Genomic DNA, 14,864 nt, shown 5'->3' with positions numbered 1-14,864 from the left:
GCAAAGGATGTGGCTGGGCCAGGAGGCGGGGACTGCATCTACATGTGTGGATGTGTGTGTGTGTGGTGTGTTCTCATTTCCGCTTCCCCTTTTGAGCAGGCAACAGCAGTTGAATGAGTTCAGGGAGAAAGGCATAATCTACAACATGATACTTTCTCACTTGCTTCACCTCTGTGCCCACACCTGTGAAGGCCTCGGCCCAGCTTCGACAACTGCTTTGCCTCAAACTCAGCTTTCTACCAGCAGACAGGTAAGCACAGCCTTTATCTCAGTTTCAAGGCTGTACTGATTTAGGGTGATGCTAGGAGAAAGAAGGAAACATGTCAGAGAAAAATCAGGCTGTCAAGTCAAGGGAAAATCAAGAGAAAATCTCCCACCACTCTTACTTCAACCTTAAAAGCATCCATCATTATGCCTAGGAGAACGATGCTGGGTGCCCTTTTGCTTTCGTTTGTTTGTTTTCTCTTTATTATCAGAGAGGTAATCTTTCTAGATTCTCAAAACTTGGGTCTCTTTGATGACTTGAATAACATTTTAGGAATTTTTTTTCACCTTTCTCACCTGCAAAGTTCTTCTCTGTGTCTTGCTGAACTCATTGTTGCTGCAATTTCCATCTGATTATAACATCGAAAAGTTCTCAAGGAAGAAGTTTCCCGGTTTCATTTCAGGCCCTACTCTAGTGTCCATAGCTCCAACCATTGAGAGTACCTGGCTGAAATCAACTTTGCTTTCTGTGGGTATGACCTCTTTCTTCAGAAGCTGTAGAAGAAACTTGTTGAGATAAACTGCAGCAAGATATATTGAGGTCAGCTACGAGGGAGGATGTACACACTTGAGTGAGGTAAGGTCAAATTCACCGGGAGGCTCAAGATAGATGGATAGCCACCATCAGGACCAGATTTCAGGGTTCACATCTCAAAGATAGATAGATGGATGTGTTGCCTTCTCAGTGACCTACATAATATTGGGGGCTTCATGCTCCTCCAACACCCCTTGCCCCAGTGGTAGCAGGCAGAGCATATCACCACCTACATGAGTTTTGGGGTAGATGGAGGAGTGGAAAGATCCTCCACCCTGGGGTTTTCCCATGCCCCTTCTGTGCCACTAAGCTCACCAGTGGGTGGAAGAAAAAGGGTGGGTCCCCAGGGCAGGGCAAGGACAAGAAAGGAGAGTTCCACAGAAGTGATTTGACAAGACTGTGAGCATTTACAGGAGATATCCAGGGAAGTACTAGTGACTCTGTATACCACAAATGGTCCTGAGTAGAGAGGTAAGGAGACTTTCTAGATGGTGCAGGGCAGTACCTAGGATGGGAGGTTGGAGGTAGGAACCTTCAACTTGTGTGTCCAAGTATCAGACTCAATAGTTGTTCAGCTGAGTGATTAGAGATAAAGATCTCACAATATTGTCTTGCAGCATGAAGTGTTAGTAGGAAGAAGGGAAGTCAGGTTTATTGTCTGTCTCTACTTGGACTATTATCAGAAATAACAAGCTGAAGATATAGCAGAAGGGATAGAAAGCAATTTAACATCTGAGTTATTCGCATGCACCCCAGGGTGTTTAGAAACCATTTACAACCACGCTACCAACATGTTCTCATAACTCTTGGGTTTTTTGAAAATTAAGATGGAACCCTGCGATTCAGCATTATGTAGTGAACATGAAGCCCCAACCGTCATTTTCAGTTCAATGTTTGATTTGGATTCTAGTATGGAGGTCTCGTCTCAGCCAATGCTGTGACTTACAAGATTCCTTCTGGGCTACAGTAAGGGGAAAAGATCACACGTTTATTTCCACCTGCAAACTGACAACTGTTCTCTTTTCCACCTAAGGCACAAGACCAAAGTGGATATTCCAGTACCCACAGTACTGTGTGCCTTACAACACCCAGGCCTGATGCAGAATGGCCTAAACACAGATTTCAGATTGAGAAAAGAGTTCAGTCAAATAAGTAGAGGGACGAGGAGAAGAGAGTGTGTAGATATTGAAAAAGAAAAGCAGGAAAGAAGAAAAATGAATATATGCAGGACAGAGCTTATTACCAAGGAAATGAAACTGAAGAATTAAAGATACGAATTCACAGAGCTAACACAATGGTTGAGAAATCTGCTCATTCTCCCTACTTTCTCTTGATGAAGCCATCTATAAATCAGCTCAGATAAACTGCTGTTTCTTATTCTTGATGTCTTTATTGCCCATTCAAATGAAGATATTTGATGTCTCCCTACATTGAGAACAAGCGATTAATTTTTTTTCCAAATCCACAACTTTAATATTTCCTGTAGCAATTATACAAGCCTTTCTTAAAATTCATATCCTAAAAGTGGAAGTAAGGAAGAAAGGGAAGGAGAGGAAAAAGGTCTTAGATGGTCTTCTTTCAGTATTTATTCAGCTACGCTTATTTGTGGGAGAAAGAGTATGAAAAGGGAGGGGAATAGGAGTTCTATTGACTAATGGGCATTTTTTCTTTCTGTTATTTACCAAGTAACATCTCTCCTTTTCCCCGAACAGATTGAACTGCTCCTTAGACAATAGAAGTCTCAGAATGCTCAAATATTATACTCAGGGAAATTCTTGTTCTGATGATCTTCCAACCTGAGTGACATGGAAGAGGGTTAGGAGCTAGAAGACAGTTCTATGAAGGAATGTGAGAATTTGTTGCAGATTGGGGTATGTCAAATGGGGGACAATCCACCTGGGTTGAGGTGGAGTTTGTCCAGTTCATGAACAGAGAAATGTTAGCTACTCTGGGATTTCCCGCAGCTCTGCGATGGTAATGATGTATATCTTGGCTGTGGATGCAGAAGGTCTTATGGGCCACATCATGGAAACCCCATTTCCTTCTTCTCTCCTCCCACACTGGTTCTCACTCTCAGTCTCAACTCACAGGCACTGCTTGGGGCATAGGTACAAAACAGACAGAAGAGAAGAGAGGTCTGTCTCATACATGTCCCCTAGAGCACTAAAGGCAAACCTGGGACTGGGCCTTGGAAACCAAGTGTGGCAGGAGGAAGGCTGTATGATATAAAGGAAGAAAGCATGCATCTGGAACTCAGAACTTGTGAGTTTGGTTCCCATTTAAAACCACTAATATTCTTTGTGACTCCAGGCAAGCCTGCTTCTCCCTCCCTCTCTCTCTCTCTTTCTCCCTCCTTTCTCTCTCTCTTCAGTTTCCTCAACTACAAAATGAGTGAACAGGATTAGGTAATCTCTCTGGTCCCTTTGGGAATTAGGTAAGAAAGAAAGACTTTTTTTTTTTAATATATTATACTTTAAGTTCTAGGGTACACGTGCACAATGTGCAGGTTTGTTACATATGTATACATGTGCCATGTTGGTGTGCTGCACCCGTTAACTCGTCAGTTACATTAGGTACATCTCCTAATGCTATCTCTCCCCCCTCCCCCCACCCTAGGACAGGCCCCAGGAAAGAAAGACTTTTCATTGCTTACTTTTTATCTCTGCTTAACACAGATTTAAAAAATCTTTTTCACCATCTTGATTTTATACTGTCAACTGTACCCTGCAATTCTCACCTTCTTCCTTCCTTCTTTCCTTCCTTATTCCTCAAGATGTTTCAACTTTAGTGAACATCTTAGACTGAGGGGAGATTCATAATCATAATCATATCTATCACTTATTAAGCACCACCTTTATACATCAGGGACTTAATATGTGTTACCTGATTACAACTGCCAATCACCCAACTAGTTTGGCACAGTATCTATTTTATGAAGAAAATTAGGTATAGACTAGGTGTGGTGGCTCACACCTATAATCCCAGCACTTTGGGAGGCCAAGGTGGGAGGATTGCTTGAGGCCAGGTGTTCAAGACCAGCCTGAGTAACACAGCAAGACAAAAGAAAAAGAAAAAGAAGAAACTTAGGTATAGAAGAAAAGATAGTGTTACCAAGGACAAATATGCAGAAAGCAGACAGAACTATGATTCCAAATTAGGCTTACTCTGATTCCAAGGCCCAAACTCTTTCTACAGTTTTCCTTTTCTTTAATTTCTAAATAACACTCTGAACTTTAAAGAAAAAGAAGCATTGGTCATCCTTACTGAGCCCCTTGAAAATTGCCCCATGGTGAAGTATCTGTAAGCAGAGCTGATATTTGTCAGGTGCAAACTGGTAGGCTAATAGTTGCTAAAATATTAAAATATGTCTACTAATGATAATTATCCACTTTCCCAAGCCCTCTGAGTGCCCATGACCAGCCCAGCTATCCCAGCTCTTTCCTCAAGACTCCCCAGACAGGCCCCAGAAATTCAAGGCCACATCAGCCATGTACCGGGCGGGGCCCCACCACAGGGCGGTGATGGTATCAGCTCTCATTGCTCTGTGGTGCCCCAAACCGTTATGAAATATTCTGAATGCCACAACAACCTGAAAGTAATGCGGAATTCCAGGCAGATTCTCTCCTCCCAACTAGAAGTTAGGTGGGCCCTTGCCAAAAAAACCACTCTGTAAGCCTGAGGAAGGCTAAACTGCTTCATAATCACCTAGCTGGAGTCAGAAAGGAAATTATTCTAATAACACAAACAAAGCAACACTTCCTGCACTAAGACTGTCACAGAACCAAATATAAATTACATTGTGTTTATGGTGCTTCTTCTCTACTAGACTATAAGATGGAGAGCTTACATAGATGCAAAATGGAGAATTTACTAAAATAACTTCTCCTTTTTTTTTAATCCCAAATTACATTGGATGGTGACATTGGGCCATTTTCTTATTCTAATGTCAGTGGAAAAACTATATAACATGGAGTCAGACCAACTTGAGTTTAAATCTCAGCACTACAGGGATGTGGCCTTGGACAAATAACGTATCTCTGTGAGGGTCAGGTAACCATAATCAGCTCTAAAGTGGTTGTCAGGATTAAGTTAAGCAGTTTACAGGAAAGTTTTATGGATAAATATGCAGTACTCTATACATTTCAGTTATTATGACTACCTACCTTTGACTTGCCCGTGTCAATGTGTAGTGAATCCCCACCTGCTTCCCTGGGAAAACAGAGACTAGAAATAGGCGATATTCTTCGAGTCATAATTATGACATACCTCTACAGGTTTTCTGCCGCTGCTACAGTTACTGCCTCTGATAATAATTTTTGTTGGAAGATACTCATTTCACAGCTCTTAACTCCCTCATCTTAAACCAGTGGAGGATATTTCTCCTGTCTAACCTCAATCCTATCTACTACAATTTCTGCTTTTAACTATAGCATCCTCAGAACAAGAATTATATCTTACTCCACTTGGCTGAACCCAGATTCCAGAACTCTTGAAAGATTGTGGAGAAGGATTTATGGAATGAACGTCTAGAGAAATGTAGAAAAGAGGAAAGAACAAAAGGCTGGAAATGGTAGCAGAGGGGGGACATGAGGGTTTGGGCGGATTCAGGCAAGAAGCAATAGTACCACTGTGGGAATTTCTTAGTTTCATGGGAAAATTGGAGAACAGATATCTACAGGCTTTATATTTCTATCCTCATAGAGAAGACTAAATATGATCACATACTATAAGCAGCATCAAGAGAGATGATAGATGAACTCCAGAAGGAAATTTTGATGAAGAAGTGAATAAAAACTTGAAATGAAAGACTCTGGAAAATATTTTTTTTAAATAGGAGAATTTGGTAGTTCAAGCTTCATAAATTAAGTCAGACTTGGGTGACCTTATGTTATGTCAACAAAGGACTGGAAAGACTATGCTCCAAGCCTTTTTCCTCTTCACTAACTGTGCAAAAATGTACATTAGGATCCAAGGCCATGAGGACAGTCAGGAGCACCCGTCCTATGACGAATACTAATTGGGGATAATTTCCCAGTGCCAGGGTGATTCTTGCTCCTCTGCAGGTACAGCACTTATGGAGTCCCTTCTTTTGCAAAGTACTGTGCTATGTTCTATGATGGGTTTAGGGGAGAAGTTACAAGTAGTGGTGAATGATGACAAGAGAGGTAGCCACTTACTGTCTTGTTGCATATGGCGCAGGCATGGGTGTTTGTTGCTACAGGTAGGACAGAGAAAGGAGATGACTTAAGTAGGCCCTTAAAGGGTAGAAAGAATTCGTTTGATTAGAGAGGAAGGGGGATGAAACTATAAGCTAAAGCAAAAAAGCAGAAAAGTTCAAGCAATGTTGAGAGTCAATGAGTAGCACCTGACTGACTCCCTGTATAAGTTCCTGTATGGCCTTCCTGTTCAGGCTCACCACTTTCCTGGATCCAATGTGAAGGTCGCATGTGCAGGAGCTCCATATGTTGGTGTTAATTTGAAAGGGAATTTGGTATATGGGAAGTAACTCTAGAGACCACTGAAGCATTTCGCATTTTTTAATGGGAAAAACTGTATAAATGCACTTTCTTTTATGGGTACTATTCCTATGCATATTTCAAACTCACCTAAATAAATTAATAAACATTGGTACTGGAAGTAAATTTACACAACATTGAGTCCAGCCAATCCCTTTCCTAGAGGATTAAACTGAAACCGTAATAAAAAAGCCTAACTGACATGCCATAAGTCAATTAATTGGACAAGTCAGAAAAATGTCCAAGTCTTCTGATTTCTAGTCAGTTTTCTTTTCACTGCACCAAACTCCATTGTATTATCAGTGTACGTTTTCGAATGACTTATTTGGAGGAAACATCTCCATATCTTTGTCTCTATTACAAGGGGCCCCAAGACCTACAAAGCTGCTATCTTGACATCTGTGTGCACTCGCTTTTTAATTCTGTCTAACACTCTCATGGCTGATGTGCTTGTCTGATAATCATTTGCCGCTTCCTGCAGATTTCCACAGAAAAAAAAACAAAAAAAAAACGGTTTCTTGTCTCCCAGCAGTACAGCTTCCTCCTATTACCACTAACCAGACACTACCATTTCTTCTTGCCTCTTGATATTGCTGTACTTATAGTATTCCCATATAACACTCCATGGACAGGGCTCTACAATTCAAGTGTTGCTGAGATTGGGAAAAAAATTATTTATGCAATTTCCCAGTCCTCTATCCTGTGTGCTAGAGTTGTGAAGATTAGCTTAGATCTACCTTGTGTCTTTTCTTCAAGACTTGAGATCACTATTACTTTTTCAAGTAGAAAAATTATTACATTCTCACCCAAATTGCCAGGAAAATGTCTGTCATTCTCAGTGAACACTTAACCTGTCTGGTCTTTTTATTGTCATACCTGCAATTGCCATTTATTTGTAAGCCTTTCTTTGGAACTCTTAAGCATTAAGGATTCTGCCTTCATAGGCATTTTCCTTTAAGAATTAACATTAAGTAAAACTTCTGTACATAGGACATAGAGACAGGGAGTAAATAGGGATTAGTCAAGAAAATGCAATCTTTGTTCTCAATTGTAGGAACTTCTAGGATAAAAACAAGTCTTAGAATAACCATCTCTCTTTTCTCCAACTTTCAACCCACAACATTTTTACATGCTTAGTAAGCACATAGTTACCAGCTTATTGTTACTGTTTTGCAGCCGATCTCCCTGCATGTGTCTCTGATGACTCTGGAAGGCACTGGGCTCCTATGAGGAAAGGGCACCTTCTAAACATTCACTCGTTTAGACAATGAGTATTCATTAAGTGGTTACAATGTGTGAGATTCTGTTTTAGGCATTAGAAACACAGCAGTAAATGACCCAAAATTTCTGTCCTCGTGGAGCTTGTATTCTAATCAGAAGAGTAAACAATAAATTGGGTAAATAAATAAAATGTAAGGTATGTTAGTGATAAGACCTAAGAAGAAAAAAATCAAGCAGAGAAAGAGCCCAGTGAAAGCGATTAAGGTAGGCTGTGGAAGCCAGGCATGGCTCCATGGAGGACGCTGGTTAAGAGCTGGACACTGCAGGGTGAGTGTGGCAAAGACTGAGGAAGATGAAGAGAAGGAGGGAAAGAATTTGAGAAAACCGAGGTTAAAAAAAGAGGTAAGTATTTTCAGGGGATGCAGAGGAAATTAGCCTATATTATTGCGATATATTTTTGAAGATGTGGGAGGAATGTAAAATAGATTCATATCACAGAGGACGTTGAAACCCCCCACCTCCATTTCAGTTAGTGAGATTCTGGAATTGTGCTAGGCAGTATAGGGGCTTGACATAAAATAGCACATCCAGAAGTTTGTAGTATTAGATGCATCAATGTTAGGGCTATAATGTTTTCACTGACAAACTGAGATCCAATAAAAGGATGAAATTTTCCAAGGTTATACCATTTGAAGTGGCAGAATAAAGTATGAAATCCAGATATTCCTCCCTCCCTCCCTCCCTCCTTCTTTTCCTCCTTCTCTGCCTACCCTCCTGCCCTTCTGCATTCCTGCCCTCCTGGCTTCCTGGTTTCCTGCCTTCCTTTTGAGTTCTACGACCAAAAATGTTCTGTGAGCTGAAGATTCCCAGTGATCTAGGGGAGGTCCATTTCCTTCGGGAATTAAAAACAATAGACAAGTCGGCCTTTGTGATTTTCTTCTCTGGGTTTTGGAACCAATCTCTTAAATATTTTGGATCACAGGACTAGGTAAACAAACTGATAAGACTTTTTAGATTCTTGTCCTAAGGTCATTCTAGTGGCAGTTGCATTAAATGCTCTGAAAGCTCTAAATACCAGGGTAAGTCTTCCAAGTCAGTAAGTTTGAAAGCTTCAAACATCACGATTTAATGGACATTATCTCCTCACGACAGCTCTGACCAAAGAATAGCAAGTCATCTCTGCTACTCCTCTTCGAGGCTTCTTTATGACATTAACTTCATTCAGTGATTTAATTTTCTCTAAAAGGCACAGGCAGTAGACAAAGAGCCACGTGCCCGGGGTTAAAGAGCAAAGTCTCATAGTGCTAACTACCGTCTCACTTGGAAGAAAAATATGTCTTGGACTGGACCTGAAGTGAAGGAAGTTAGATCAGACAACAGTAATTATGTATTATTTTTTCCTAGGTATGTTTTGCCTGTAACAAGCAGAGGCACTAAAAACAATTTTACTGCCCTAGGAATGCATTTTATGTTCAGGATGTTCTTTTCAAAAAAGCTATTTTAATGCCTATTTTGTTGGATGCCTCACTAATGGTTTTAAGTGTTGGAAGAACAGAAGTCTCTGTAAACTGGTAGTCTTCTTATTTTATTTTATTTTATTTTATTTTATTTTATTCCAATAGTTAAAAGTGTAGCTCTTAAGATGATGTTGTTTATGGCAGCTCGAGGAAATAGGGGGATAAGACCTGGAGAGTTTCAGCCCCACTCCTATTTGCTCAGTGTGGTGGGATGCAAGTGTGGCCAGCTGGGGAGAGGCAGCAGGACAGAGTATGAGCCAATGAATATTACATTAGCTTCAAGCTTTTTTAAGCTCTATTTGGACAATTGAATGATTCTTCCCCTCTGTTCCTCTTTGAATGTGTATCTAGTGCCATCATTGTGTCTCTTGGAAAAATACATCAATATTTGGTAATGTTACATGAAATATGAATCGACAGGATTAGTAATTGCATTGATGAGCTGAGGAATAAATTCATAGTTAGGTAGAAGCACAAGTTGACAAATTAGAAAGTCATTATCCTGAAGGTGCTGGCTGCTAATTGCTTAAGGCAGTGTCTCTCTGCTTTTAATCACAGGGTATTTTTTTTTTTCTGAGAGAAATCATATGTGGACTCCTAATATATAAAACAGGAACATAAAAAATCAAGACAAAAACTAAACAAACAAAACCCAGAATTCCTATAGTTGGAGTGACATCCTGGTTGTGGGACCTTAGAAAATCTGTTTTACCTTTGAGACCCTAAATTTTTTCATATGTCTTGATGAGGATTAAAAAATGAAGTGAATTTTATAAGTTGTAAACTTAAAGATGTTTTAGTCATAATGGAAGATTCTGGTAGACAACATTCTTAAGGATTAAAGAAAAAATGTTTTCTAATACAGCATTTCGATTACCCTGAGAAATAGAGATTCTTTAAGTCAGAAGAGTTTTCTTAATGTCCATTAAATCATGATGTTTGAAGCTTTCAAACTTTCTGGCTTGAAAGACTTATCCCGGTATTTAGAGTTTTCAGAGCATTCCTTTTTTGCAGGAGAGACAGAAAATGAGCTAGGCATGTCCTCCCTGCTTTTGAATGGTCAGAGAGACCAAGCTCCTTTGGGCAGACACAGGAAAATTCAGGGGGCAACCCTGAGCATCATGATGGTTTCTGAGCATATGATGAGGGAGTATCACTGTTTTTCAACTCTTAGGACGGCATTACTGTTACGGGAGGCCCTGAAGTCTGAGCCAGGGCCATGGAGGCCTCTGTGCTGAGCCCCACATCCTGGGAGAAACGGCGGGCCTGGCTCCGTCAGAGCCGTAACTGGCAGACCCAGGTCCTAGAAGAGGAGGCTGCCGCCGCCCTGCAGGATGTCCCAGATCCTGAGCCTTCCAGCCTGGATGACGTTTTCCAAGAAGGTAAGAGACGAACATCAGACAGGCGTCTATGTTGTCTGGCGGCAAAAGGTGACAGCAGGCCCAGGTCTGCAGAGTGTGAACAGGTTCCTTGTTTAGCCAGGCCCTCAGGGAGGACTGTTTTGACTGGTTTAAATATGTTTAGGAGAAAAGCTAAAGTAATACGAAATATGAATTATGTGAGAAAGAGACAGGCATAAGATTAGGAAAAAGGGAAGGGCACATTTTTGCATCATCCTGAGAAGCTTCTGTAAGAACCTGAGGCTGGGGGCTCTCTATGAATGCTTTGGGGTGTTTCTATTTTGTCTGTGTAACAAGACCACACCCAAGCTGGATGCCTGGACTCTGGCCACAATGCTGTCACTAACAAGCTGTGTGGCCTTTGGGAAGTCACTCACCTCTCTAAGACTTATTTGTCCAATTGAAGTAGTAGTACCTTTCCTACACTTCTCAGAGCTTCTTTGAGGTTCAGATGAGACCACAGTCATAAGAGTAAAACAAAAATTCTGATGGAAATAAATGCTTATTTGGTAGGAAGCAAAAAGCACAAAAACAAGATTGTCTTTCTTTTTCTTTTTCTTTTTAAATGAGAAGGATCCACCCTTGTGGGAAAGGAACTCTCAAAAGACAGCAGTGGGCCTGACATCTTGGGCACTTTCCAGGTTCTTGGGAGGAAGGGAGAAAAGAAGCAGAGAGAGAGAAGAAATATCTACTATTTTTATATACGGTGTATTCCTCTCATATCTTAAAGAAAAGCTTTATGTAGAAAAAAAGATTCATGACGCAGCTTATGTAAGAATAAACTTGTGGAATGGAATTAGTTGCAGGGAGGAGGTCTGATTTCGTTCAGTTCTCACAGTGATCTAGTGTCTGACTTTTCTAGGGAATCCAATCAATAAAATTGAAGACTGGCTGCAGGATTGCGGGTAAGTGCTGGACAGGCAATGGGGTGGTATGTGGCTGATGGTTGAATTTGCTAACAGACACAACTCCTGGAAACTCAGAGACGGGAAGATGGATTTGATTTGGGCCTAAAGATTAGAAGTAAGGTTGAGATGGTGGTTGGAGGGGTGTTGCGGGTTTAGGGTGAACTGGTGATCACAATTGTGAATCAAGTGCAACTTGGGGCTAAGACTAAATTAGGCACGAGGTCTAGGAATAGAGGTTGGGTTTGAGCTAAAGCTAAGAGTGGATGGGGAATAGTTGGGGTGAGTTCCAGACCCCTACTCCCCTGACTTCCCCCTTTAGATTGGAGTCTTACATTGTGTAACAAAAGGAATTGGAAACCTGATCATTCTTGCTGAAGAGCAATTCATCTGTGTTATTTATTTCTACTGCAGAGCACAGGAGAAGCTTAGGGTTTATGACAGTCATTCAAAGCAGGGGAGAATTGGAGCAGGCACTTCAAGGCAGTGCATTATCTCTTTCCTCAGAGATACTTTAAATTATGAGACCCCACAGCCCATCAGCCTGTACCGTTCTTAGGCTCAGTATACCCAGACACAAAAGGAAGAATTCTGTGATCTATTTAGTCTTCTGTGTAATAATGAATTCTCAGAATGGACAACTTCTGCCTGCTCCTTATTTTCCCTCCAGGAATGGCTCAAGTTTTATATAGCCTTTAATCTAAACTCATCTATTAATTGGCATAAAGAAACCCATTCTTGCTTATTTGGTAGGAAATAAATAACACCAAATAATCCAAGGTTGTTTATTTCACCTGTACCCAAGAAGGCAATGCCAGGAAGGATTTATTTTGTGTTTGTTTTGTTGTTTGAAAAAACCTATTGTTCTCATTGCCCTCATCTTATTCATAATTCATTGATTTCAAAGTCAATTAGAGGACCCACAGAATACAGGAAGAAAAGAATGGTGGTAATCAGCATGTTTGCAGGTTTGGGTGAGAAGCCTAGGATGAGAACTGTCCTAGGATTTAAAATACTTACCAGATATGTACAGGGGAAACAGTCAGCTCAGTTAATGTCCTTATCTCATTAACTACTCTTGAGTCATCAATTCATGTCAGCAATTATTAATTACGCTTTTGCTAACTGTCTGATTATCTGAATAACCTAGAGGGGTGCCAAGTAGTTTAAAATATGCTCATTGACTTAGAACATATTTCGTTCTAATTGAAAATAATAAATTCACAGAAATACAAGATAATAAACTCTAGAAATCATCTTTCTTCACTCATGCTCTACAAAGATAAACCCTGAACCAAAATTTATGACAAAAAGGTGGTCTGGTTAGTGAAAAGTCTCCAAGACTTGAGCCTAATTCTTGTGCTACTAAGTGTTTAACCAACCATAAGCTAATAACTTAAATTCTGTTCACTGTAGACGCCTGAGCTATAAAGTGGGACGCTTAAAATAATACAGTCTAAGGGTTCTCGTGAGGTTTAAATGAGATGATATATGTGTATGTGCTTTATGCTTTTAATAGTGAGTGACTGGTGAGTTTTATAAAGGAGGAGTTTATACCTACCTATAATTCCACAAAATGTCTGTCTATATCTATCCATCTATCTACATCTGTTTATTTATCAGAAAAAAAATTCCCAGAAATGATACATATTAACTCTTGGATAGTGATTACCTGGAAGAAGGAAAAGAATTGACTTTAGAAGTAAAATAAGACTTTAGTTATATCTTTAATATTTAATTTTTTATTTTACATTATATATTACTTAATATTTTATTTTTTCCGAAGCAAATATGGCAAAATGTTTACATGTGTGAAAATAGAGTGACTGGTGCAAGGGTATCTGTTACATTTTCATTATGTATCTGTGTTTTGAAAAGATTTCAAATATTTAAACTTCAAAATGGCCATAAAGAGTTAATCAACAGACTTGCATTTGTCTTTGGAAGGGGAATTGTTGGAGTCAGAACATTTTCCAATTTCCTCTGTTTTCTAATTCTGTTTAAGTGTGTAATACTTCTTAATTGCATGGAAAAGCTAGAAAAACTAAAGGACAATAATGACAATGATTGATAGTGAGAGTACACTTGACTTTTGGTAATAGCTAATGAAGAAGATAGAGGGAAAACGCATTCTAAACATGAGATTCTAAATTACCACAGTATTCCATGCTCCAAGGCCACAGAGGAAAGAGGATAAACAAGGAGCCCGCATTTACTGATTATCTGTCCACTCTGCCAGGTGCCCTGAGGGGCACTTTTCAAATTTTATTCCAAGACCATATAGTTTCCATTTTTCTTTCCAAAGCCTAACATCCTCTGGTAGCAAGAGCATCTTCTTTTCTGACAAGCTCTGCAGGAGAGTTCACCAACATCTCAGGCAATTTAGTGTCAATGTTTCTCAGTGCAATTGAATCTAGCGGCCGACTATTCTGCCACAGGATCTGATCATGCATGTCTTTGCAAACTATGCCTCTCCTTTTTTCTTTCTCCTCCTAAGCTCTCGGGATTTTCTGGGACATGACTGTGTTGCTCATGAATCACCAGAGGTGGGGTTGGGAGCCCAAAAATCATCTGTGTGGGCTTCAGCTTAAATCTCTGCAGGCAGGTAGCTATGGAAACATCTAGAAGAAGCTAAAAATAGCCATATACTTCTTCCCACAATCCAACCCCTCCTCCCTACTATTTGTTTATGAACTGCATATACAGAAAGAGCAATACCTTGGCTCTTTCATTTGAGACTTAAAATGATGCTAAGGAATTTTTCAATGCAAGGGTGGGAAAAGGGGAGCAACTATACATCTAGTCCCTGGTCATTGATTTTATGGCCTATCCGATAACCCATGGAAGGCCTGGGACTTGAGTGATGGACATAAAGTCTCAAATCATTGTGCTCGGTGAGAAAGCATCAATAGCTCCAGGCCCATGTCCACACTGCTGTTGTAGGTTCCACAGAATGCCCCAAGACCCACCAATGGCTATTCCTCATAAAGAGAATAGAAATACTTGGCAGATTATAACTAAAGAAGAGAAATGTAGGATAAGCACCCAATAAAAACTTGTATCCAATGAATACAAGTGAGTTTTGCTTTGGACAAACCAGAAATTTTATCAGTGACATTTTAAATGTAAATTGTATTGAAGTTCAGCATACATATCAGTAACATTTTCCTTTTTAATATAAATTATATTGAAGTATAATATACTTACTGAAAAATGAATGAGTATTAAATATGTAGCTGAGGCTAGGCACATGGCTCATGCCTGTAACCCCAGCACTTTGGGAGCCCAAGGCAGGAGGATTGCTTGAGCCCAAGAGTTCAAGACCACCCTGGGCAATGTACCAGTCCTCCATCTCTACAAGGAAAAAAAAACAACAGTTTTTTAAAATTAGCCAGGCATGGCAGCACCTTTAGTCCTAGCTACTCAGGAGATTGAGGCAGGAGGCTCTCTTGGGCTTAGGAGTTCAAGGCTACAGTGAGCTATTCTCACTGTGCTCCAACCTGGGA

At 40.2% G+C, this 14,864-nt stretch overlaps 1 protein-coding gene across 34 annotated transcripts in view, besides 2 other annotated features; it reads left to right on the top strand.

Moving 5' to 3' along the window:
- TESPA1 (thymocyte expressed, positive selection associated 1) overlaps positions 1–14,864 on the top strand; it is a 37,174-nt gene that overhangs the window by 354 nt on the left and 21,956 nt on the right. For 16 of the 34 annotated variants that reach the window (NR_147069.1, NR_147068.1, NR_147071.1 and 13 more), the window contains exon 1: positions 11,103–11,358. Coding sequence is in view for 11 of the 34 variants with exons in the window: in XM_047429930.1 (XP_047285886.1) it covers positions 10,273–10,435; positions 11,316–11,358 (206 nt within the window). In the remaining 23 variants the exon portion in view is untranslated. Of the gene's footprint in view, positions 1–72; positions 251–668; positions 3,062–7,771; positions 7,939–10,227; positions 10,436–11,102; positions 11,359–14,864 lie in introns of those variants that run through there. The other 18 variants (NR_147062.2, NM_001351149.2, NR_147063.2 and 15 more) reach the window with 14 other exon arrangements.
- Positions 9,809–10,318: an enhancer, noted in NCBI's record as "H3K4me1 hESC enhancer chr12:55368301-55368810 (GRCh37/hg19 assembly coordinates)". NCBI's record gives its function as "activates a minimal SCP1, AML or CMV promoter by ChIP-STARR-seq in naive H9 embryonic stem cells {active_cell/tissue: H9 hESC(naive)}" and the evidence as "EXISTENCE:reporter gene assay evidence [ECO:0000049][PMID:30033119]".
- Positions 10,319–10,830: an enhancer, noted in NCBI's record as "H3K4me1 hESC enhancer chr12:55367789-55368300 (GRCh37/hg19 assembly coordinates)". NCBI's record gives its function as "activates a minimal SCP1, AML or CMV promoter by ChIP-STARR-seq in naive H9 embryonic stem cells {active_cell/tissue: H9 hESC(naive)}" and the evidence as "EXISTENCE:reporter gene assay evidence [ECO:0000049][PMID:30033119]".

Source organism: Homo sapiens, chromosome 12, assembly GCF_000001405.40.
Source record: "Homo sapiens chromosome 12, GRCh38.p14 Primary Assembly".
In the NCBI taxonomy this organism is placed as follows: Eukaryota; Metazoa; Chordata; class Mammalia; order Primates; family Hominidae; genus Homo; species Homo sapiens.
The sequence above is the reverse complement of the archived record's forward strand: the minus strand, read 5'-3'. Positions and strand labels throughout refer to the sequence as shown.